The sequence below is a fragment of the Homo sapiens genome, chromosome 6 (genome assembly GCF_000001405.40).
Source record: "Homo sapiens chromosome 6, GRCh38.p14 Primary Assembly".
NCBI classification, from domain to species: domain Eukaryota; kingdom Metazoa; phylum Chordata; class Mammalia; order Primates; family Hominidae; genus Homo; species Homo sapiens.
This window is the reverse complement of record NC_000006.12, coordinates 100,759,077-100,783,319: the sequence shown is the minus strand read 5'-3', so window position 1 is coordinate 100,783,319 and position 24,243 is coordinate 100,759,077. Positions and strand designations below refer to the sequence as shown.

The following is a 24,243-nucleotide window of genomic DNA, read 5'->3' as shown; positions in this document are numbered from 1 at the left end:
TCTTCTGTGTCTAAACTTTTAATTGGGAAGTCCTTTGAGGAACTAGCCATGTTAAGACCAAAAAAGAGAACGCTGGGAAGAACACTGAGTAGGGGACATATGGTGTAGAATAATTTGAAGGGGCATGAGAAGAGTAATTTAACTTACTATTTTGTTTCTAAAGGGTAGAATTCAAGGAATAATGAGAAGAACTTAATATGAAATATTTATATAATACATGAGAGCTCATTTAGGCTTTTCCACTAAATCAGACATGTTTTTAGTTTTTCCATTTCTTAAAAGATGTCAGTCATATTTCTTTTTTTTTTTGGCATAGGTATTATCATATGGTTTCAAAAACTAGCAACCTTTACATACTGAGAAGCCTTTTATTTGTGTCTTTTATCTTCCCAGGTCCCTGACTTCTTTCATTAATAAGCAGTGTATTTAATTTTATGTATTCTTTCAGAATTTCTGCAAGCAAATATAAATAATTATTTCCTGCCCTCCTCAAATTTGGACAATAAAATAGCATATTATAATACTATTCTGCAGCTTGCTTTTTTTTGGCCATAAAAAGATCTTTTCATCTCAGAAAACAGAAAACTTTCTTATTCTGTTTATGGAGGCATAGAATTTCATTGTATGGATATGCCATAATTTATTCCAGTGGTACACTATTGAGGAAATTCGGATTGTTTCTAATTTTTGGTATTACAAATAATTTGTGATAAATAATCTTATGCATACACAATTTTGCACATGTGTAAGTATATTTTTGGATACATTTTTAAAAAGTGAAATTGCTAGATAGGCCGAAGGTAATAGGCATTGATTTGTGAGCGAAATATTTTTGTGTTCCCAAAATGAAGCAGGATCATATTTTGAAAGAATGCATTTGTGTTCACTAGAAAGTATTTATTTGTGGCATTGGATTTCAAACTTTTTTTATTGCACTCATCTAAAAAATATTTTACATTGTAATCAATATACTCAAACACAATTAAAACAAAATTTTCATGAAACTGTTTTATCCTTATCACATGTGATGCATTAGTATTTCCTTTTTCTTTTCTATTCTTTAAAAGCACCGATAACAATCCACTAAATTAATTTCATAACTCACTAGTAAGGCATAACCTTCTTTGTGAAATACACTGATCTAGAGTTTAGTTGACCAACTCTGTTATGTATAGTAGAGGAGGAACCCTAGTTGGACTATACAGTCTCCCAAGAATTCCCTATAATTCTTTTGCAGGTCAAACAAACAAATAAGCCTGGGTTTTAGTAATTTTTATAAAGTCTCTTAGAAATAATATTTTGTTACCTCTGGACCTAGAAGGATGATATTTTAAAATAATAGCATATGTTGGTATAATATATATAGAGAGATATAAATATATAAAAATATAGATATGTAAATTGGGATTGGGTATAAACAGTCAATCAGTTTCTTAGGGATAAGTAGAAAAGATAGAATGTTACATATTTCTTATGTAATACATAATTTGTATTCTTAATGTGGGAAATTCCATGATATGCTAAATGTCTGGTTATGTTTAGAGTTTTTAGTGCTTAGTGTCAGGAAGATTAAAAAATATATTAAAAGTATGTTTTGAAACTACCTTTTTTGGTTTTAAGAACAAATGTACTGGCCGGGCGCGGTGGCTCACACCTGTAATCCCAGCCCTTTGGGAGGCCGAGGCAGGTAGATCACGAGGTCAGGAGATTGAGACCTTCCTGGCTAACATGGTGAAACCGTGTCTCTACTAAAAAAAAAAAAAAAAAAATTAGCCAGGCGTGGTGGCACCCACCTGTAGTCCCAGCTACTCAGGAGGCTGAGGCAGGAGAATCGCTTGAACCCGGGAGGCGGAGGGCGCAGTGAGCCAAGATCGCACCACTGCATTCCAGCCTGGGCAACAGAGCAAGACTCTGTCTTAAAAACAAAACAAAACGAAACAAAAAAACAAGTGTACCACGAGCAGTTGCAATCCAAGCTAACTTGGTGTTTTACAGGCGGCAACTTCAGTGAATAACTATAGAAAAAAATTATTTGACTAATATTTATAATATATGATAAAAAACACTTGTGGAACTTAATAAATAATGTGAGTAGAACAATTTATTCTTAACATGGAGCATCTTAACTCTTAGTTGATTTATAAACATTCATCAACAATGCAGTTCATAGTTGATAATTATGATTTAATCAAAATGACTCAGCTGAAGCAAGCACAGAGGAAAAAAACAACATCACTGAGTATTTGCTTTACACCATTTACTGTGCTAGGAATTAGAGAGATGAAGTTGAAAATCATAATTTCTGCCTCATAGTAGTCATATTTTAAAGGAAAATACTTCTTATATTTCTTGTTTAGCACTTTAGGGAATACAAGTGATTTCATTTGATCAGGTGATGTATTTGTAAAGTATTTGTCAACCTTTAATAAAGATGAGTAATGAGGCTTAGGTTGGGACACTAATGTAATATGTGGTTGACATTTCAACCTCACTGTTTTATACCTTGGGTTGGAATATAGAAATAAGTATGAGTGATTGAGTCAATTTTGGAAAAGAACATTAATTCCATTGTTTAACACATTCAACAAATGGTTACTTGTTTCCTTGTTTTTATGCTTACCAAGGATAACTATAGAGAATAAGACATCAAGAGAAAGACTAATGTCCTTTCTCTTTCCTAAAGACTCCTTAATATGTAGTTTTTTATTTTCTTTTTAAGTCAGGACCTTGCCTTGTCACCCAGGCCAGAGTGTGGTGGCATGATCATGGCTCACTGCAGCCTCAAACTCCTGGCCTCAAGCAATCCTTCCATTTTAGCCTCCCAAGTTGTGAGATTGCTGGCATGAGTCACTGTACCTGGCAATATATTTTATCTGAATTTCATGAACCTCATATTATGGCAGGGTCTTTTCGACCACATTAAGGATTTTTGAATGTTGCCCTAAGAGATTTTCCCTGAATGTAATCTGCTGTGTTAGGACAGTTTATTTATCAATTTATGAGCATTATATAAGTTAGCTGGGCACTCTCCAGAGCTGCACTGTTTGACATAGTAGCCATTAACCACATCTGGGTGTTTAGCAATTAAAATATGGCTAGTCTAGATTGCAATGTGCTTTAAGTGTAACATACACTAATTTTACAATTTCATATTAAGATGATATTTTAGATACATTGAGTTAAATAAAATTCATTATAGAATTAATTTCACATGTTTTTGTGTGTTTCTAATGTTCCTGCTAGAAGATGTAAGTATATATTATATGACTTTTAATATACTTCCATTGGACAGTGATGAATTAGACTGGGAATATTTAAAATGTTTTTAAATATTTTTCAGTTGTTTATTTTCAACTTCTAGGATTAATTTGTTTGTTTCTTAATATGTAGTCCTCACCTTTAAGATTTCTCTATGATTAGGGTAGCTGATATTTTGTCTTCTATTGTTCTTAGTAGAGTATGAAAGATTATGGTCTAAGCCTTGATTTCTAAGTTGTTTATTTACAACTCAAATGCATTTTTCTATGGAAACAAACTGGTCAGATAAAGATACTTGCCCTAGTATGTTAACATAGTTTACCTGAAATTAACATATCCATAAACCTACCTGTCCCAAGGTCTCTAAGGCCTAAATTGAAGTCCTGAGCTTTCTACACTTGTTTATCTGAATCTATTACTGAGAGATCCCCTGAAACTTAAAAAGGATGAGAATTTTAGGGCAAAAGGTGGCTCACTCATGTAAAATATGAATCAGTTTCTGTTATCTGAAAGCTTTTTCACCTATAAATTAGGTTTATCCTCAGAGAGATGAAAAGGGGACTCCATGATAACAATAGAGGAGTGGAGCCAGCCAGCAGTATTTTCTTCCAGTTTTTTAATGTGGTCTTTTAAAATATGGTTGTAAGCACAGTACAAATATAATTTTGGAGCCAGGCATGCTGGCACATGAGGGGAATCCCAGCAACTTGGGAGGCTGAGGCAGGAGGATCACATGAGCCTAGGAGTTTGAGACCAACTTCAGCAACATAGCGAGACTCCATCTCAAAAAATAAAATAAAATATAATTTTGTATTTTTTTCACTTAATGTATATAGGATTTTTTTCATGTTGCTTCATATTCTCCTTGATTACTATTTTAATGAATGCATATTATTTCATTGAATAGGTATATCATAATTTACTTAACTGTTCCTCTAATTTGAGAAATCACTTGGTAATTAGGAAAGCTGAAAGCTTATCATAGCTGTATATCTTGCAATGTTCATCTTTTATGTTGATCTTTTAAAATTACCTTAAAGATTTTTATCTACATAATTACTAATTATATATTTATGTTAATGTGGTAAAATGTGTATGATTCTTTTGCCCAAGTAATCATATGAATTGTTGAAGTAAAATAATCAGAATATATTAAACTTAACTTTTAGTTCAATTTCATATTTATTGAATAGCCAAACGTTTCTCAAATATGTGAGATCTATGATATTATATTGGATATGGTTTACTCTTCCTAAGCAAGACTTTGATTACATTTGGAACACCAAGTTATTCAATTTTTAGAGGCTGTTGCATGATTAGATTTTAAATATTAAAAAATCTGCATTGTTGTATGTCACGTAGCCTTTCAATAATAAAATTTGTTTATTAAGTTATGTTAACTATCAAAAGTATTTTTATTAAGATGATTGAAGTTTAATCTTGTGACTAGTTACTTATAACAATGCTTATCTAGTGTAAGTAGTATATTACAAAATTCCATTGACCACAAATACAGTTGATAAACCCTAATTGACAAAAAGAAGATTTCTAACAACTAAAATAGAGGTGTAGTATTATTATATAAAACCTTATATACTTTATTCCTCGAAGAATCCACTAAACTGTTACCTAGTGTCCGTTAACTTCTTATTTTAGACAGAATTTAGAAAGATTACTAGAATGCAAACTTTTGAAATTTGAGTCTGCTGCTACTATATAATTTTGGAAGAATCACTACCTTTCTGAAAATTAATTTTTAAAAATCCTTGACCTTTCCATGACTTTCAAATTCTGATGTAATTGCCTGTTTGAAATCTCTACTTAGATGTATAATAGGTACTTCAAATGGAGTGTTTATTTTTCTCTCTCAGTCTGTCATCTTAATCTTCCTCATATCCTAAAAACTATTTTTCACTCAAGAAAAACGTCATCTTTGATTTATCTCTCTTTTTTTTTTTCCACCATCTTACATTTAAGTCATCATCAGATCCATTGGCTGTACCTCGAAGAGATAGCCTGGGTTCTGCTACTTCTCTCCATTTCCTCTGCTGACACTCCAGTATAAACCAGCATCACCTTTCACTTGTATTACTGCCATAGTTTTATGCTACTTCTCAGTCTTTTTTCCACATGGTAGCCAGAGACAGCTTTAAAAATTACAAATCATATTATATTATTCTTCTACTTAAAATCCTGCAGAGATTTTAATTGTGTTGAGAACAAAAATCCAACGTCTTTGCTATGACCTACCTACAATTCCTGTCTTTCTTTCCCATCTCATGTGTGACCTCTTACTCAGCCACTCTAATCTCTGTACAGTTCCTTCAACATTTCAACTTAGTCCTGATTTAGTGGTCTGCTTCTGGATCTTCATTTTGCCTAGAATGTACTGAGGTTTCAAATTTTTTCGTGGCCTGGTTCTTGTCATTTTATTCTCAACTCAGATCACCTCTCTTGAGGCACCTTTCTAGAAACCTAATTTAAGGTAACTGTTATGTCTCACTCCCCATTACACCATCTATTAAAATGTATTCATAGGAGCATTTGAAACAATTTTTAAATTAGTAAACATGTTGATTTTTTTTTGTCTTCCACCCTAATTAGAATGTAAGCTACATGACAGCAGAGACTTTGTCTACCTTATTGAGTGTTTGAACAGTTTAAGCCACATAGAGGAGATATTCAAGAACTATTTGCCAAATAAATGAATGATTCCACCTATAAATGAAAGATCAGAGTTTTTTTAAAACGTATCCTGTTAGGAAAGCCCAAAGTCATCTATTTTAGAGTAATTATCAAAAATAGTTTTATACACTCACACATACACACACATGTAAAGTAGTCAGTACTTGAAGACCTTTAAATGAAAAAATTTATCCAGTTATCTAAAAGAAAATCATCTGATCATCTAATGAATACTCAAGTATGTTAAATAAGGTATTCATGTAAATTGTTTGATTTTTAATCTCGTGACTTACGTAGATTATGGCATGGAGCCAGGTTTGTGAGGAATATTAGAGTGGTGGGATTCCAGAATATAAAACTTGGACGGAGTGTGTGGAGTGGCTATCATCACTAATTCTGAAATTTTGAGCCTAAGCCACATTTTATAGGGAGCCGAAGAAAAACTGTGAAAATTATGTAATGTATGTCCTTGGTATCTATATGATTTATCATAAATATATGCTGAAATTTTAATGTCTATGGTTTGATTATCTTAAACTTAAGCTTATGATATTTACACTAGTTTGGGAGGGACAGCATGTTCTTGGGTTCATCCTAGATACTTAGTTAATGCTTTCTAATTAACTGACAAAATAAATATATATGATTATTATAAAAAATGAGGTATGTTTACTGTATATTTTTGTTCTTCCAGCTAAATACTATCATCCAGTTTACTTTTAAAAATAGAGTGCGCACTCACGAGTAGCCTGTATTACCAGTATTTAATAAATGGATATCCAAAACATACACTTTCTATGGAATTTCATAAATAAGTCATCTTATTTCAGTAGTCTAGTGAGTCCCAAATATGTAAGATAAGCATATGTAAGATCAGTAGTCTGGCGTATGTATGTAAGATCAGTAGTCTGGTGAGTCCCAAATATGTATAAAGTGGATGTAGAATGAAGCTTGTAACACTTAAAATGTTTCTGGTCTGCTAATTATGATATGTTTTGAAAATGCTTAGTAGTTAGAACCAGTTAAAAGGGAAAATGGTATATACTTAGAATGACTATCTGGATTAAACATAAAGCACTTAAGATAAATGATCATGAGACTCTCAGTTTTCTGTTTAAAAGGAAATGCTGATTTGCTAAGAAATAATTTCAGTTTAACTTTATGTATTCATTAATGTATAAAATCAATATGAAATGTTTTAAGTTAGAAGAATGTCAAATATTTGGAAGCAAAGATTATTAGCTGCATTTAATTAGGTATTGTGTGTGCAGGAAATATAAATAAAACAATAAATATTATTAGCATGTAGTTCTAAAGTTGAGTAAAATAGAGTTTTGATATAACCCACATTATTCTTCTTCTTTAATCATTTGTTTTCTTAACTTAAAGCATTTGTTAATATAATTTGAATATTATTCAAATATAAGAAATCTATGCATAATGGATGTTAATTATTTCATGTTCCAATAGCTTACAAACACAATTCACAATATCAAGTATACTGAGCCCTCTAGTGATTTTTTTTTTAACTGCTGTCACAATTGCTGTCTGAGCACATTCCTTTTATTTTTACCAACAAGTTTATTGGTGAAAATTATTTCGTTCATTTTCCTTAATTTGAAATGAGAAATAAAAAGAAACTTTATAGGGAGTGGTATAAAACGTGGGCTGTTTTAAATATGTTAGGAAGTTTTGGAGGGTTTTTCTTTTTTAACTTGCTGTTTCTATTCAGCATGTTCTGTTGATAGTGATGTATATATATGCAATAATATTATAAAGATTTTTTTGAGATGTTTATTTTGAAATAAATGTAGAGGATACTTACCGAACAAGATAAATCATCATATTTTAAACAGTAAATTTAGTGGTAATTTGTATTTGAGCTAGGACAAACTGAGTTTAGGTCCCGTCTCGGCCACAATTTATTAGCAGGGTAGACTTGGGTAAGTTATTTAACCTCTCTAGGCCTCAGTTCCCTCTGATAATTTCTTCATATAGTCTCTAAAATATCTTTTAGAGATGTTTCCAGAGGAGTCTTGATAATTTCTTTTCTTTATATTGAATTTTTCTTTCATAATTTAAATCTAAGCCTTCTTATTCTCAGAAGATAAATTTATTATTTCTATGGTTTTAGACTTTTTAAATTATATTCCAAATAGAACTATAACATGCTTTTTCCTTGCTTAAAAGAGACCTTGAATAGTAACCGTGTCGCTTTTGGTCACAGTTACATCCCTAGTGGCTGAAAAAGTCCCTGGCTATTTCATTCAGTAATTTGATGCTCATTTAGTAACTTGGTAAATGAGTGAAGAAAAGGTCAGCTCCTTCAGTGTAGCATATGTGATTTTTTGTAGTCTGCTCTTGGCCTACTTTTCCATCTTCATCATCTTTGCTACTCCTTTTCACCAGCCCTAAGTGTTTTTCTAATATCCTGTTTCTTGTACCTAATATGGCATGCTTAGTGACTGTCTCTCCCTCACATACCTTAGCATATAGTTCATATCCTTATAGAAACCTAAATGATGTAATCTAATTTTAAACATGCCTTTTTCTTCCTTTAAACGACAAACTAGGGCCAGGTGTGGTAGCTCACAACTGTTATCTCAGTGCTTTGGGAAGCTGAGGTGGGAGGATAACTTGAGCCCAGGAGTTCAAAGACCAGTCTGAGCAAGACCAGCAAGACCTTGTCTCTACTAAAAATAAGAAAGTTAGGGCCGGGTGCAGTGGCTCACGCCTGTAATCCCAGCACTCTGGGAGGCCAAGCTGGGTGGATCACGAGGTCAGAAAATCGAGACCATCCTGGCTAACATGCTGAAACCCTGTCTCTACTAAAAATACAAAAAATTAGCCAGGCGTGGTGATGGGCGCCTGTAGTATCAGCTACTCAGGAGACTGAGGCAGGAGAATTGCTTGAACCTGGGAGGCGGAGGTTGCCGTGAGCCAAGATAGTGCCATTGCACTCCAGACTAGGCAACAGAGTGAGAGTGCATCTCCGAAAAAAAAAAGTTAGTCAGGTGTGGTGACATGCACGTGTCATGACATGTACGTGTCATGTACATGCACATGTCTGAGTACATGCACGTGACATGTACTCAGAAGGTTGAGGCAGGAGGATTGCTTGTCCCCAGAAGTTTGAGGTTGCAGTGAGCTATGATTGCTCCACTGCGCTTCAGCCTGGGCAACAGAGCAAGACGCTATCTCAGAAATCATCAGCAAAACCCAGAAACTAGTCAGTTTTAAGGATCATTTTAAAAATTGTCTGACTTTTGTTATGAAAACAAATATTTGTATTGACAGAACTTAGTACAATAACAATCAGTAAATGAATGTTGAATCGATTAGAATGTTATAAACCTCTATATATGTAATAGGTTTTGTTTGTTAGTATATTCTTCTGATTATTTATTTCTTGAACTATAACCTTCAAAAACAAAGAAATAGGTTTTTTACTGAAAGTTGAATATAGGGCTTTTGCTAAAATGCTACATATTTTGGCTAGATTCAATTTAGTATTTCTTTGGAGGACATTATGTATGCAGTGTATATCTATCTTTAAACTTTTCCCCTCATTTAATTATAGTTCTTTTTCCAAGTAGCCAGCATAAAATCATTCAATAAAAATGTATTTAGTAGCCTATTATGTTCCTGGCAATTGATTAGGTACTGGAGTAATACAAAGAGTAATAAAAAACAGAATCCTTAGTTTCAATCTAATGGGTCAGAAATACATATAAAAGACTCATTTCAATATTTGTGGTTAAGGGTCATAATAATAATACATAAAGAGGGTTGTCTGAGTGTCTAGTTGTTGAGAGAAGCTACGGTAGTTCCTTAAATCTTCTAAAATATGCTGAAGCACAAAGAAGTAAAGATAACAATTGTTTAGGGAATTGGAGAGAACCAGAAATTGCTTTTGAGCTTAAACTTGAATGGTAATGAAGAGTCAATGAGAAGTCTTGGAACATTTTGTAAGCTGGAATGTGACATGATCAGATTTGTAGTTTAGGAATAGTATACTCTGTTTCTTGTCATAAGTCTATAAAAACTGGAAATAGCTGCATTCATTCATAGCACTATTTTAGGAAACCTCGTATAAAAATGAAATGATATATGATAGTAATAATAATAGCTACCATTAATTTATTTCAACATATTTAACAAGTACCATCTCTGTGTATGGTTTATAGTATATGATTTATAAATATTATCTAATTAAAGACTCAGCTTTTGAAGTTATATGACTTCAAATACTAGCTCTACCATTTATAGTTGTGTGAACTTAAACAAGCTTTCTCAAGTTTCAGTTTCCTCATCTATAAAATATTCTGGTATGGCTATAGAAATAATTAGGATATTTTATGTAAAGGACTCCTGTGCTTAGCCCATAGTAAGCACTCCATAATTGTTAGCTATTTTAAAATTAATTTTTGTAACTTCCTTGTGTTAAAAAGATAACACCTTTACCTTGCAATATTACCTTGCAGATGAGGAAATTGAATTTAGAGATCTTAAGTTACCTGCGGGTCATACTTGCAGTATTACCTTGCAGAGGAGAAAATAAAATTTAGAGATCTTAGGTTTCTTAAAAGTTATATTGCAAGTAGTGGCAAAGCCAGTATTTTAACTTGGGTCTCTGACTGTAAGCCCAGTATCCTGAAAAATGTGCTGTACTGTCCTTCCGAGGCTAAGTGATCAGGAGAAATTGGTGAAGAAAGTATCAGTGGTACTCTCAGATGTTTAATTGGCCTGCCTAAGAGCTTCTAGGCCTAAGAGATACTACTGTGATCTCTTCTGAGTATATCTTTTGTCCAAATGAAAGCATAAGCAAATGTATAATAGATAAGTCTATGTTGTCTAACTCATCTATGTTGTTACATGTCTCAATAATTAATTCTTTTTTAATGCTGTGTAGTATTCCATTGTATCAATATATAACATTTTGTTTATCCATTTATCTGTCGATGGACATTTGAGTGGTTTTCCTGTTTTAGGCTATTACAGGTAAAGCTGCTATGAGCATTCATATTCATGTTTTTGTATGTACATGTACTTCTTTTTCTCTTGGGTAGAGCCTCAAAGGGGTATGTTAGGTGTATGTTGTTTAACTTTTAAAAACTTGCTAGATTGTTTTATTAAAGTTATTGTACATTTAGTTTAGGTGTATGTTTGTTTAACTTTTAAAAACTTGCTAGATTGGGCTAGGTGCGGTGGCTCATGCCTGTAATCCCAGCACTTTGGGAGGCTGAGGCGGGTGGATCACGAGGTCAGTAAATCTAGACCATCCTGGCTAACATGGTGAAACCCTATGCCTACTAAAAATACAAAAAAAATTAGCCATGCCTGGTGGCTGGCGCCTGTAGTCCCAGCTACTCCGGAGGCTGAGGCAGGAGAATGGTGTGAACCTGGGAGGCAGAGCTTGCAATGAGCCGAGATCATGCCTCTGCAACTCAGCCTGGGGGACAGAGCAAGAGACTCCATCTCAAAAAAAAAAAAAAAAAAAAAAAAAAAAACTTGCAGATTGTTTTATTAAAGTGATTGTACATGTAGTTTATCTGCTATCAGTATGTGTGAATTCTTTTTTCTCTACATCAACAATACTTGCAATTAAAAAAATTAAATTATTAAACATTTTGCCAATTTTTTAAATGTTAGCCATTTTAACAGGTGCATAGTTGTGATTTTAATTTTTATTTCCCTAATGACTAATGATGTTGAGCATTTTTATTTGTGCTTATTTGACATCTATATATTTTCTTTGGTGAAATGATTCTTTAAATCTTTACATACTCTTAAGATTAAATTGCTTGTTTTCTTTACTGTTGTGTTGAGTTTTTTTATTCTACGTATAAGCACTTTATCTGATATATGTATTGCAAAGATTTTTCTCCCATTCTATGGTTTATCTTTTTATTTTCTTAACAGTATCTTAAAGATAGTAGGTTTTCCATTTTGCTTAAGTCAAATTTACTGATTTGTTTATAGATTTTATTTTATTTAAGAAATCTTGGCATAACTCACATTCACAAAGAATTTCTTCCATGTTTTCTTCTACATGTTTTATACTGTCAGGCTTTACATTCAGGTAGTGATTTATTTTGAGTTAATTTTTGTATGTGACACAAGGTATGGTTTCAAGTCATTTTTTTAACGTGTATATCCATTTGTTCTAGCATCATTTATTGAAAATGCTGACCTTTGTCATCTACATTGCCTTTCAGCCCTTGTCAAAAATCAGTTGTCCAAATATGTGTGGATTTATTTCTGGATTTTGTATTCAGTTCCTTGATTTGTTTGTATTTATGTAAATACCTTGCTGTTTTGATTTCTCTAGTGTTTTAATAATTTTTGACATCAGGTAGTTTTAGCTCTCTAACATTGTTATTCTTTTTCAAAGTTGTTTTGTTCCTTCTAGGTCATGTGTGTTTCCATATGAATTTCAAAGTCAGCTTGTCAATTTCCATAGGAAACCCTGGTGGGATTTTGATTGGAATTGCATTGAATCTGTAGATGAGTTTGGGAAAAAAAAAAAAAAAAGACATCTTAAGAATTTTATCTTTCATTTAGCAAAATAGAATATTTTTCAGTGTACAGGTCTTTCCCATCTCTTTTCATATTTATCCTTAAGAAATTCATAACAGAGTGCTATTTTTACTGATTAAAAAAATTGCTTTCAGATATTTCATTGCCGGTATATAGAAATGTAATTTTTTAGTTGTTGATCTTGCATCCTGCAGCCTTCCTGAATTCACACATTAGCTTTAGGAGCTCTTTTGTAGATTCCATCCGATTTTTTACATAGATAATCAGGTCATCTCTAAATACAGGTATTTTTTTCTTCCTTTTTTATATTAATGACTTTATTTCTTTTTTTTTTCTTTTTCCCCTTTTCCAATTGCACTCCAGTACAATGTTAAGTGGATAGAGCCTTCAATACAATGTTAATTGGTGAGTGAGTGTAATACCCTTCCTATTCCTGGTTTTAGAGGAAAGCATTCAGTCTTACCCTGTTAATATGATAGGAACACCTGTAACGCTTTTGTAGATGCCTTCTATCAGGTTGAGGGATTCTCCTCTACTTCTAGTTTGCTAAGATTAAGACCAAAAAAATAATAAATGGATGTTCGATTTTGTCAAATGCTTTTTCTGCATTTATTAAGATGATCATGTAGTTTTTCTGTGATGTATTATGTCATTTATAATTTTTAAATTTATGCTTTGAGGAGTATTAGTCTGTGATTTTATTTTGTTTGGCTTTTATATTGGGGCAGTGCTAGCTTCTTAGAATGATTTGGGGAGTATTCCTTTTTTTACATTTTTTTTGAAATAGTTTAAAACTCCACTTAAAATTGATATTATTTCCATCTTAAATTTTAGGTGGAATTCATTCAAGAATCTTTCTGGCCCTGGAGGTTTTTTTGTGGAAATAATTTTAACCTCATTCTTAATTTCTTTACTAGATATTGGGTTAAGTTGTGTATTTGTTTTTGAGTGAGCTTTGGCAATTTGTGTTTTTTAAGAAAGTTGTCCATTTCATCTGAGTTGTCAGATTTACTGGCATATAGTTGTTCATTATATTTTCTTACTATTCTTTTAATATCTATATTATCTCTAGTGATGCCACTTTTCTCACTCTTGATATTGATAATTGGTGTCTTCTCTTATTTTTCCTGATCAGTCTGCCCAGAGGTTAATCAATTTTATTAATTTCAAAGAATCATCCTTTTCTGTTTTTTGTTTCATTGATCTTTATAATTATTTCCTTTATTCTGCTTTGGTTTTGATTTTCTTTTTCTAATTTTTCATTTTGGAGGATAAAGTTGTTCTTTTGAAACCTTTGTTTTTTTCTTTTTTAATTGATTATTTTTAAAAGTTTTATTTGTAATTGACAAATAATAAATAATGGTATGATGTGATATGTTAATGCATGTATATTCTGCGCAATGATCAAATCAGGGTAATTAGCATATCTGTCACTTTAAGTATTTATTATTTCTTTGTGATAATAACATTCAAAATCTTTTCTTCTAGCTATCTTGAAATATATATTATTATTTGTTATAGTCTTCTGTGTAATAAGACACCAGAACTTAATCTTCCTGTCTAACTATAACTTTGAACTCATTGACCAACCTTTCCCCATGCTTTTCTTCCCCCTGTCCTCTGTAGCTTCTGGTAACCACTATTATACTCTCTACTTCGATGAGATGAACATTTTCAGATTCCACATATGAGTGAGATCATGTGGTATCTTCTTTTTCAATATAGTAGTTAGTGCTACAAAATTTCCCCTAAGTATTGGTTTAGCAGTCTCTGCAAATTTTGACATAATAAATTTTTATTTCCCTTCAGTTAAGAATACTTAACTACTTTCTGTTTTGATTTCTTCTTTCATCAGTGGTAGAAAGTGTGCTATTTAAGGAGGTGTGCTATTTCATTTCAAATATTTAGATATTTTCCAAGTATCTTTCTAATAAGGGTACCTGATATAATTCCATTGCAGTCAGAGAATATGCTTTGTATGACTGTCTTCCTTTTTAATTTATTAAGACTTGTTTTTTGACCAAGAATATAGTATAACTTAAATGTTTCAAGAGCAGTGGAAGAGAATGTGTGTTCTACTATTATTAGATGAATAAGTGTCAATCAAGTCAAGTTGGTTTATAGTGCCATTCAAGTCTATGGTAGCCTTGCTGATTTTCATGCCTCCTTGTTCTATAGATTTTGAAGTGGTATTGAAATCTTTGATTGTAATTGTGGATTTGCCTATTTCCCTTTGCATGTCTTCAGTTTTTACTTCATGTATTTTGAAGATCTGTTATTAGGTATACAAATGTTTAGGACTATTATATCGTGTTGATTAATTTACCTCTTTGTCATTATGAAATGGCTTTCTGTTTTGCTGGTAATATTCTTGGCTTCAAAATTTATTTTTTCTGACATTAATATAGCCATTCCAAGTTTCTGCCAGTAATCCCAACCAGTGTTTTGCTTACTTTTAGGCCTTTTAGTTTTCATCTAAGACTTTTATATAGGAAAATTTTAGGTAAAAATTATTTAACCGCTCTGTGTCTTAGTTTCTTTTTGATTAAAGGGAAGTAATAAGAGTACCTACACCATAGAATTGTTTTGAGGATTAAACAAAATAATATCGTATATTCTACACCTGCACATGTTGCAGTGCAAACTCTGTGTCACAAAGTGTAGTCTATGGCTTTTGTTCCTACTATTACTGCTGCGTTTTAAAAAAAGGTTTTTTTATAAACATATGAAATAGAATTTGCGATTAATTTACATCTTCAAGAAGTATCTTGTTTGCTGTTTCATTAATCATCTTTAGACTAGATAAATTAGAACATCATCATGAAATTTATAAATGAATATGAACTCAAAAAATACCTGTATTTAATTTTGTTTTCTTACATTACTAATTTACCATCTATTTTACTTAAGAATTGTATTCTGGCCGGGTGCGGTGGCTCACGCCTGTAATCCCAGCACTTTGGGAGGCCTAGGTGGGCGGATCACGAGGTCAGGAGATCGAGACCATCCTAGCTAACATGGTGAAACCCCATCTCTACTAAATATACAAAAAAAAAAAAAATTAGCCGGGCATGGTGGCGGGAGCCTGTAGTCCCAGCTACTCGGGAGGCTGAGGCAGGAGAATGGCATGAACCTGGGAGGCAGAGCTTGCAGTGAGCCGAGATCACGCCAGTGCACTCCAGCCAGGGCGACAGAGTGAGACTCCGTCTCAAAAAAAAAACCAAAAAAACCAAAAAGTGTTCTAAAATATAGGTATAGTGTCATCATATTTTTCAAATTTATCGAGTTGCCATTTCAAGTATACTTGAATTGTACAATATTTTTCAGTTATTCTCAACTGCATATACCTCCGTTTAAATAAAAGACACATTGTGAAAGTACAAATTAGTCTTTTTTTTAAAAAACAAAGGAAATAAATGTTAACACATAATGATTTGTATGGGTCCTTCACATTGTTACTATTTATAATGGGTGATGCCTTTTTTTTTTAGATCGGACAGCTGGCTTTTAAAGGAATGAAGAGACTCAATAGAATCCAGTCAATAGTGTTTGAGACTGCCTACAACACCAATGAGAACATGCTGATTTGTGCCCCTACAGGAGCTGGAAAAACCAACATTGCAATGCTGACAGTCTTGCATGAAATTCGCCAACATTTTCAACAAGGTGTTATCAAAAAGAATGAATTTAAGGTAAGTAAATAAATCAGACAACAGCTTTTTAAATTGTAAGGAATAAAATAAATTTGCAGTTTTAATATTACATGAAATTTGAAAGTTCTTAAAGATATTGTACTTGAAGTCAGATAAGTAATACTGTTTGATTTACTTCATTACTATTAAGGCAGTTCTTATTTGTGTTATGAAAATTCTATTACCATGTAAGAAGCTATGAAAATACATCTATACAATTTTCAAAGTGATGTAGCTGTGTAAACAAATTCTATTGTCCTTTAAACAGCTACACACATATCTCACAAAGATAAGACTTTTAATATATCACTATTAAGATTTTTCACTGGAAGTAGTTAGAAACATATTTCACAATAAATTGTGACTTGTATTGGCTACTGTAAGACAAATGACATGGTAGTTTTTGCTCATTAATCAAGCTAGTGTTCCTTTGGTATAGATTGTATATGTTGCTCCAATGAAAGCCTTGGCAGCTGAAATGACAGATTACTTCAGCAGACGTCTAGAGCCACTAGGCATCATTGTGAAAGAATTGACTGGTGACATGCAGTTGTCCAAAAGTGAAATTTTACGAACTCAGGTATGTTGTTTACCTAGATTTTTTGTTTAATACCATTCTTTTTTTAGGTAATTGTGAAAATTATTAAATGACTATATCTTAAATAACTAGAATACATAATACAAACATAATATAGTGAACTTTTATTTGTAACCACATCTTGTCTCTGTACTACAAAGAGTTTTTGCTGGTTCTTTGTTTTCTGGTATCCCTTCTAACTCCTGTAATTCTTACTGCATCTCAAATATGGTTAGGTTCCAAGTCTATGGGCAGTAAGGCTATTCTTTTAAAATAGTAGGGATGAGGATATAAATAATACCAGAGTTTAATTTTAAGAGGAGGGACATATATAGATCTTAAAATGATTGCACTAGTATTCCAAACTATTCCATAAGAATGGCTTAACATATAATAAGCTTTTTGGTCATTCATTATTTCATCAAATGCAAAGTTATTATTATTAAATCATGCACTGTATATAGCACTATATTAGACGAAATGAATGAATACCTGACAATAAAGACACTTAAGACACAGTTTCTGTCTTCAAAAATCTTATGACTAAGTAAGAAAAAATATTTAGGTTTCAACTAGATGATTAGTATTGAAAGCAATATATAAGTAAGGTGAAGTTCATTGTGTTTTTAAAAAAATAAAATAGTGGATGACCAGATATTAATGGAAAAATTCATAGTTTGATGGAAAATAGATAATAGAACTTTTTAAACAATGGGCAGACGTTGATTTAAAATGTGATTGGGGTGTGAATTAATTTCCTAGGGCCCCCATAGCAAAATACCATAAGCTTGGTGGTATAGACCAAAAGTATCTGAGACAGGTCTCAATCAATTTTGAAAGTTTATTTTGCCAAGGTTAAGGATGCAGCAGTGACAACCTCAGGAGATCCTGATGACATGTGCTCAATGTGATTGGGGTACAGCTTGGCTTTATACATTTTAGGGAAACGTGAGACATCTATCAATACATGTAAGATATACATTTGTTTGGTCTGGAAAGGCAGGACAATTTGAAGTGGGGGCTTCCAGGACACAGGTAGATGTATAGATTTTCTGATTGGCGGTTGGTTGAGTTATTATCTAAAGAAAGGAATGTGGAGACCAAGGTTTTATCATGCCGATGAAGCTGATCTATTCAGTGAGAATAGTTTGTAAATGTTTCTTATCAGACTTAAAAAAGTCTGTTCTATCAGTAATTCCAAAAGGAAGGAGAGTATAATGAGGCATGTCCTGCTCTTACTTCCCATCATGGCCTGAACTAGTTTTTCAGGTTATCTTTGGAATGCCTTTGTAAGAGGAGGGGTCCATTCAGATGGTTGGGGGGCTTAGAATTTTATCATTGGTCTACAGTGGCTTAAAACAACTGTCTTAATTCTCTCACAGTACTGGAGTTTAGAAGTCTGAAATCAAGGTGTCAGCCGAGTTGTTTCCTTCTGGAGGCTTTGAGACAGTATCTGTTCTATGCCTCCTAGTTTCTGGTGGCTGCTGGAAATTTTTGGCATTCTTTGGTTTGTAGATTCATCACTCCAAGCTCTGCTTCCATCTATGTGACCTTTTCGCCCGCTTATCTTTTCCCCTACTCCCCTTTTTTAAGGATACTAGTCATTGGATTTAGGGCCCACCATAGTCAGGATGATCTCATCTTAACAACCTTTCCTTAATTACATCTGCAAAGATCCTTTTTTCAAATAAGGTCACACATATGGGCTGAATGTTTACATATCATCTCCCCGACCCCCCAAACACAATTTATATGTTGAAGCCCTAGTCCACAAGTAATTGTAGTTGGAGGTGAGGCCTTTGGGAGATAATTGGACTTAGATTAGGTCATGAAGTAGGGAGGACTGGGTGACAGAGTGAGACTCCATCTCAATAAATAATAAATAAATAAATAGAAATATTGATAGATTTAATTCAAAAAGACAAAGTTCTTTGTGACCTGAATAATTTTAAAGATTACAAAGGAGTCCCAAAGCCAAAACAATTTGAAAACTACTATGATAGGTGAAAGTGCCTTATATATGACATCAGATTCTTTTTATTGTCTACATCCAGCCTGGTTTTCAACCTTATCTCCCAGATGCTTCTCAATATAAACTATAGTCAGGCCATTTTTGCTTTTTCTAAAATAGCATTGCTCAAATAATATTTTCTTAAATGAACATTGCTTTTTAGTAAGTTTCCTCATGTGTTTTCTCCTTTTTCTTAGTATCTTCCTTTATCTATTGACATTTGTCCAAATCTTGCCCATTCTTTAAAACCCAGTTCAAATTCTGTATTTACTTCTTCCCTGAATCCCGTAGCACCATTCATTTATATTCATAAAATAATACCTAGTGCACAAAGTCTGTGCTTTTGGACCTGATGTAGTGTTAAAAACCTGAATCACTCTCAAGTAAAATTTTGATTGCTCTTGTCCTATATCCAACTATGTTACTGATGCTAATGCAAGAATGTTTGTGGAAAGACAAGGGAGATAACATTTAAATTCAATTTATGAGTTAGTCACTATGCTAAATGCATATGTGCAACTTCCCTGAGTCTTCACAAGAACCCTACTGGGTAGTACCTCCATTTTACAGGAGCAGAAAGTAAAACCAAAAAAATCTACTTAGACTTATGCCTAGTCTGTCCTGCAGACTCTGGCCAAGCAATGGATGTAAGAAGTATGCAGACACAGGTATTTTGCCTGAGACCATGGCTAGGGGACTGCACGGCTTAGCATCACTGATGAGAGTGCAGCCCTGCCAATGAGAGTGCAGCCCCAATAAGCGGGGGACATTTGCATTTATTTAGTACAGATTTAATGACAAAGGCTTGAAGCAAACACAATTTGTGGGTAATTAACATTGTGGACCACCCAAGTAGATAGCAGTCCTGTGTACACATGATCAAAGATTGGTTTCCAGAGACATAAGTAAACCATTTTATCTAGATCTAAGGTTCCCTTACATTCCCTTGTTGTCTACCCTTTGCCCTCTGCTTCAGGGTAAGAGAATTAGCCGCCTTCAGCTTTTATTCTCTCCCGAAGCTTTGCAAAACCTCCTGCCTTCCAAGAAGTTTTGAGCCTTTCCCTGTTAACTTTTCCCACCACCCTGACCGATCTCCTACAGATTTATGTATTTTCAAAAGGTTTATGAACATCTATTTCTTACCCATTTGCCCATTTTTGCACTTTGCTAGACTCTGTATCCTTCGTCAGTAATTTTTGACTGTGTAAGGGCAGGGACTATGTGCTTTGCCTCAGAAATAGTTTATTAATTGAACCTTTTGTGCTTGCTCTAATTCTGCAGGTGATAATTTTTGTAGAACTGAAACTATATAGTTTCTAATCTTTTTACCCTGTTCTTCTACCCTTCTCACAGATTCTTACAGATTAAAACCTGTTCTGCTGTCACTGCCTTTGAGATTAGGCTATAGAGAAAGCAAAGCAGAGAATTATGTAAAGAATGTGGGAGTACATACATATTCAACTTTTTTTGTGGAGTTTGAATTTCTTGCTTTCCTCACTTTCATTTTGTAATTTTCTTAAAGCTTCTTAATTATTCATGTTATATATTTTTGGTAAATAAGTTTCCCAATAATCAGCATTGATTAAATCAAATATAATCTTAAATTTGCCTTGTGATTTTTTCTAACTTTCTCCGTATTGTTAATCTTTTTTTAAATATAGGAAGGCAAATTAATCTCATTTGCAAATTTTCTGCCATGCCATTCTGATCATATTACTCTCTTGCTCATAAACTTTCATTGGTTCTTTATTGCTTATTGAATTAAGTCCAACTACCTAGCTTGTTAAGAATCTTGTATAAATTAAGTATAATATGAGATGTGATGTATTTTGTGGTTCACTAGGGACCTTCAGGTATAGCAGCAGTTATGATTTTATTGAGGTTTGAATATAAAATTTCCTTTTACAAGACAGAATTATATAATTATAAGATTTACTGTTAGGAGAAACAGTATAGACAACAAATACCTTTTTGGTGTACAGCTAAAAAGCAATTTTGTGCAACTTTGAAAAACACCATAAATTTGTCATTGGTTAAAACACTTATCTACTTTTCCAACCTTATTTTCCATTACTCTATATCTACCATTGGTTTCAAACTTCTCCCTCTAAATGTATCCTTGATGAAGAGTTACTATTTTACAATGTTCACTGTACTTTTCAGTGGTTCCATTGAGCAGTGTTCCTTTGAACATCAGTGAAAACACTGGTTAGAGATTTCTCCTGTCCTGGCAGTAACTGTGTTAAAGCAAAGCATTTGCTCTGAGTTCTGAATTGTTCTCTTCTTTTATATTTGTTTGCTCATCCTCGTAGGGGGAGGCGTTTACCTGTGTACCTTTGGGAGTTGAGATAGGTTATTTCAGGTTTTGTTTTTGTTTATTTTTTGCTTGAGGATAGAGGGAAATTCTGTTCAGATCTCTTAGGCCCAAGCAATTGCAAAGGCAAATCTGAATTTTCTTTGTATTACTCTGCTAGATCAAAGCTCCAGCAATTGTGGTTGACAGGGTGTGGGTGTTGTGTATACACATGAGCTCAGATCACAGGCAGTGTTCGATGTCACACTGCTCTGATCTACTCTTCTTTCAAGGGGATTTTTCCTATGGTATGTAGTCTATTGATTATTTCAATATATGGGATAAGGGTGGGAATAAAGGGTAGTTGGAGATAGGGGCAGATATTGTATATGCAGTTTTATCTGTATATCTATAAATTATATGCTTAAGTCCCATAAATGTACTGTTTAGTTCTCTGCCTGGCATTGGGCTTTTCGCTTTAAATTTCAAGCTACTTTACTAGCTCTGAGTCCCAGCTCTGAGCTCTGATTTTGGGCACCTTTCACCAATGAAGCTGTAGTTTTCTCTCCTCTTTTTGTGCAGCCATAGTCATGCATGTTGGATTATACCCTTGGGCCAATAATCTCCAAACTCCAATTCTTACTGGCAGTTGCTGCCTTTCTGCATAAAATCTGAGAATGTCTTTATTTCACTTCCATTCCTGAAGGACATTTTTGCTGGAAATAGATTCGTAGGTTGTCAGTTCTATTCTTCGTTTTTTATATTTTTATTTTTTAGAGAAAAGGTCTCACTCTGTCACCAAGGCTGGACTACAGTGGCACAGTAATGGCCCACTGCAGCCTCAGCCTTCTGAGCTCAAGCGATCCTCTCCTCTCAGCCTCCTGAATAGCAGAGATTACAGGCGCATGCCACCACATCCCGGTAATCGTTATTTTTTGTAGCAATGAGGTATTGCCATGTTGCCCAGGCTATTCCCAAACTCCTGGCTCAAGTAGTCCTCTTGCCTCGGCCTCCTAAAGTGCTAGGATTATAGATATCAGCTACCATGCCAGGCCTTCTTTTCTTTCAGCCCTTAAAAAGTATGCCAGTTTTCTTCTGACCTCTGTGGTTTCTGAAGAGAAATTCACTCCATTCAAATTATTGTTCTCTTATAGTTAATATGTTGTTTCTCTTGGGCTTCTTTAAAGATTCAAGATTCTTTCTTTATCTTTAGTTTCCAACAGTTTTATTATGAGCTGCCTAGATGTAAATTTCTTTTAAGTTCATCCTGTTGAGTGTTTGCTCAGCTTCTTGAATCTGCAGGTTTATGTCCTTTGTCAAATTTGGGAAGTTTCCAGCCTTTATTTCTTCAACCCGTCATGTTTTCTCCTTTACTTTTTGGATTTTGCTGATGGGAATAGATCTTTTGTTATTATCCCACAGGACAATGAGATCTAGATATTTTGTTTTGTTTTATTTTCCAATCTGTTCTCGCTCTGCTGTTCTGTCTGGATGATTTTTTTGGTCTATGTTTGACGCCACTGATTCTTTATTTTGCTGTCTACATTCTGTGGTTGAGCTCTTCCAATTAGTTTTTAACTTAGGTTATTATGCTTGTCAGTTCTGAACTTTCTATTAGGCTTTAAAACTATCTTCTATTTCCTTGCTGAGACATTTCTATTTTTTAATTTGTTTCAAGGGTGTTTGAAATTGCTCCTTGAAGGATTTTTATGATAATTACTTTAAAAGTCTTGTCAGAACCAAATCCAGCAGCACATCAAAAAACTTATCCACAACGATCAAGTTGGCTTCATCCCTGGGATGCAAGGCTTGTTCAACACATGCAAATCAATAAATGTAATCCATAAACCACACGATTATCTCAATAGATGCAGAAAAGGCCTTTGCTAAAATTCAACATCCCTTCATGTTAAAAACTCTCAATAAACTAGGGATCAGTGGAACATATCTCAGAATAATAAGAACTATTTATCACAGTCCCACAGCGAATATCATATTGAATGGGCAAAAGTTGGAAGCATTCCCTTTGAAAACCAGTACAAGACAAGGATGCCCTCTCTCACCACTCCTGTTAAATATAGTATTGGAAGTTCTGGCCAGGGCAATCAGGCAAGAGAAAGAAATTGGTATTCAAATAGAAAGAGAGGAAGTCAAATTGTCTCTTTTTGCAGACAACATGATTTTATATTTAGAAAACACTATCAGCTCAGCCCCAAAACTCCTTAAACTAATAAGCAACTTGGGCAAAGTCTCAGGATACAAAAATTAGTGTGCAAAGATCACAAGCATTCCTTTACACCAACAATAGACAAGCAGAAAGCCAAGTCATGAATGAACTCTCACAATTTCTACAAAGAAAATAAAATACCTAGGAATACAGCTAACAAGCGATGTGAAGGACCTCTTCAAGGAGAACTACAAACCACTGCTCAAGGAAATAAGAGAGGACACAAACAAATGGAAAAACATTCCATCCCCATGGATAGGAAGAATCAATATTGTGAAAATGGCCATCCTGCCCAAAGTAATTTATAGATTCAATGCTATTCCTATCAGTCTACCATTGGCATTCTTCACAGAATTAGAAAAAGCTACTTTAAGTTTCATATGGAATCAAAGAAGACCCTGGATAGCCAAGACAATCCTAAGCAAAAAGAACAAAGCTGGAGGCATCATGCTACCTGACTTCAAACTATACTACAAGAAATAACACCACACATTTACAACCATCTGATAAAGCTGACAAAAACAAACAATAGGGAAAGGATCTCCTATTCAATAAATGGTGCTGGGAAAACTGGCTAGCCATATGCAGAAAACTCAAACTGGACCCCTTCTGTATACCTTATACAAAAATTAACTCAAGATGAATTAAATATTTGAATTTAAAACCCAAAACCATAAAAACTCTAGAAGAAAACCTAGACATTACCATTCAGGACATAGGCATGGGCAAAGACTTCATGATGAAAATGCCAAAAGCAATTGCAACAAAAGCCAAAATTGACAAATGGGATCTAATTAAACTAAAGAGCTTCTGCACAGCAGAAGAAACTATCATCAGAGTAAACAGGCAACCTACAGAATGGGAGAAAATTTTTGCAATCTACCCATCTGACAAAGGTCTAATATCCAGAATCTACAAGGAACTTAAACATATTTACAAGAAGAAAACAACCCCATCAAA

At 33.6% G+C, this 24,243-nt stretch overlaps 1 protein-coding gene across 6 annotated transcripts in view; it reads left to right on the top strand.

Moving 5' to 3' along the window:
* Positions 1–24,243, top strand: part of ASCC3 (activating signal cointegrator 1 complex subunit 3) — a 373,136-nt gene that overhangs the window by 98,010 nt on the left and 250,883 nt on the right. For 5 of the 6 annotated variants that reach the window (NM_006828.4, XM_011535394.4, XM_047418108.1 and 2 more), the window contains 2 exons: positions 15,975–16,175; positions 16,615–16,755. In NM_006828.4, coding sequence (NP_006819.2) covers positions 15,975–16,175; positions 16,615–16,755 — 342 coding nt within the window. Of the gene's footprint in view, positions 1–12,846; positions 12,889–15,974; positions 16,176–16,614; positions 16,756–24,243 lie in introns of all 6 variants that reach the window. The other variant, XM_047418109.1, reaches the window with a different exon arrangement.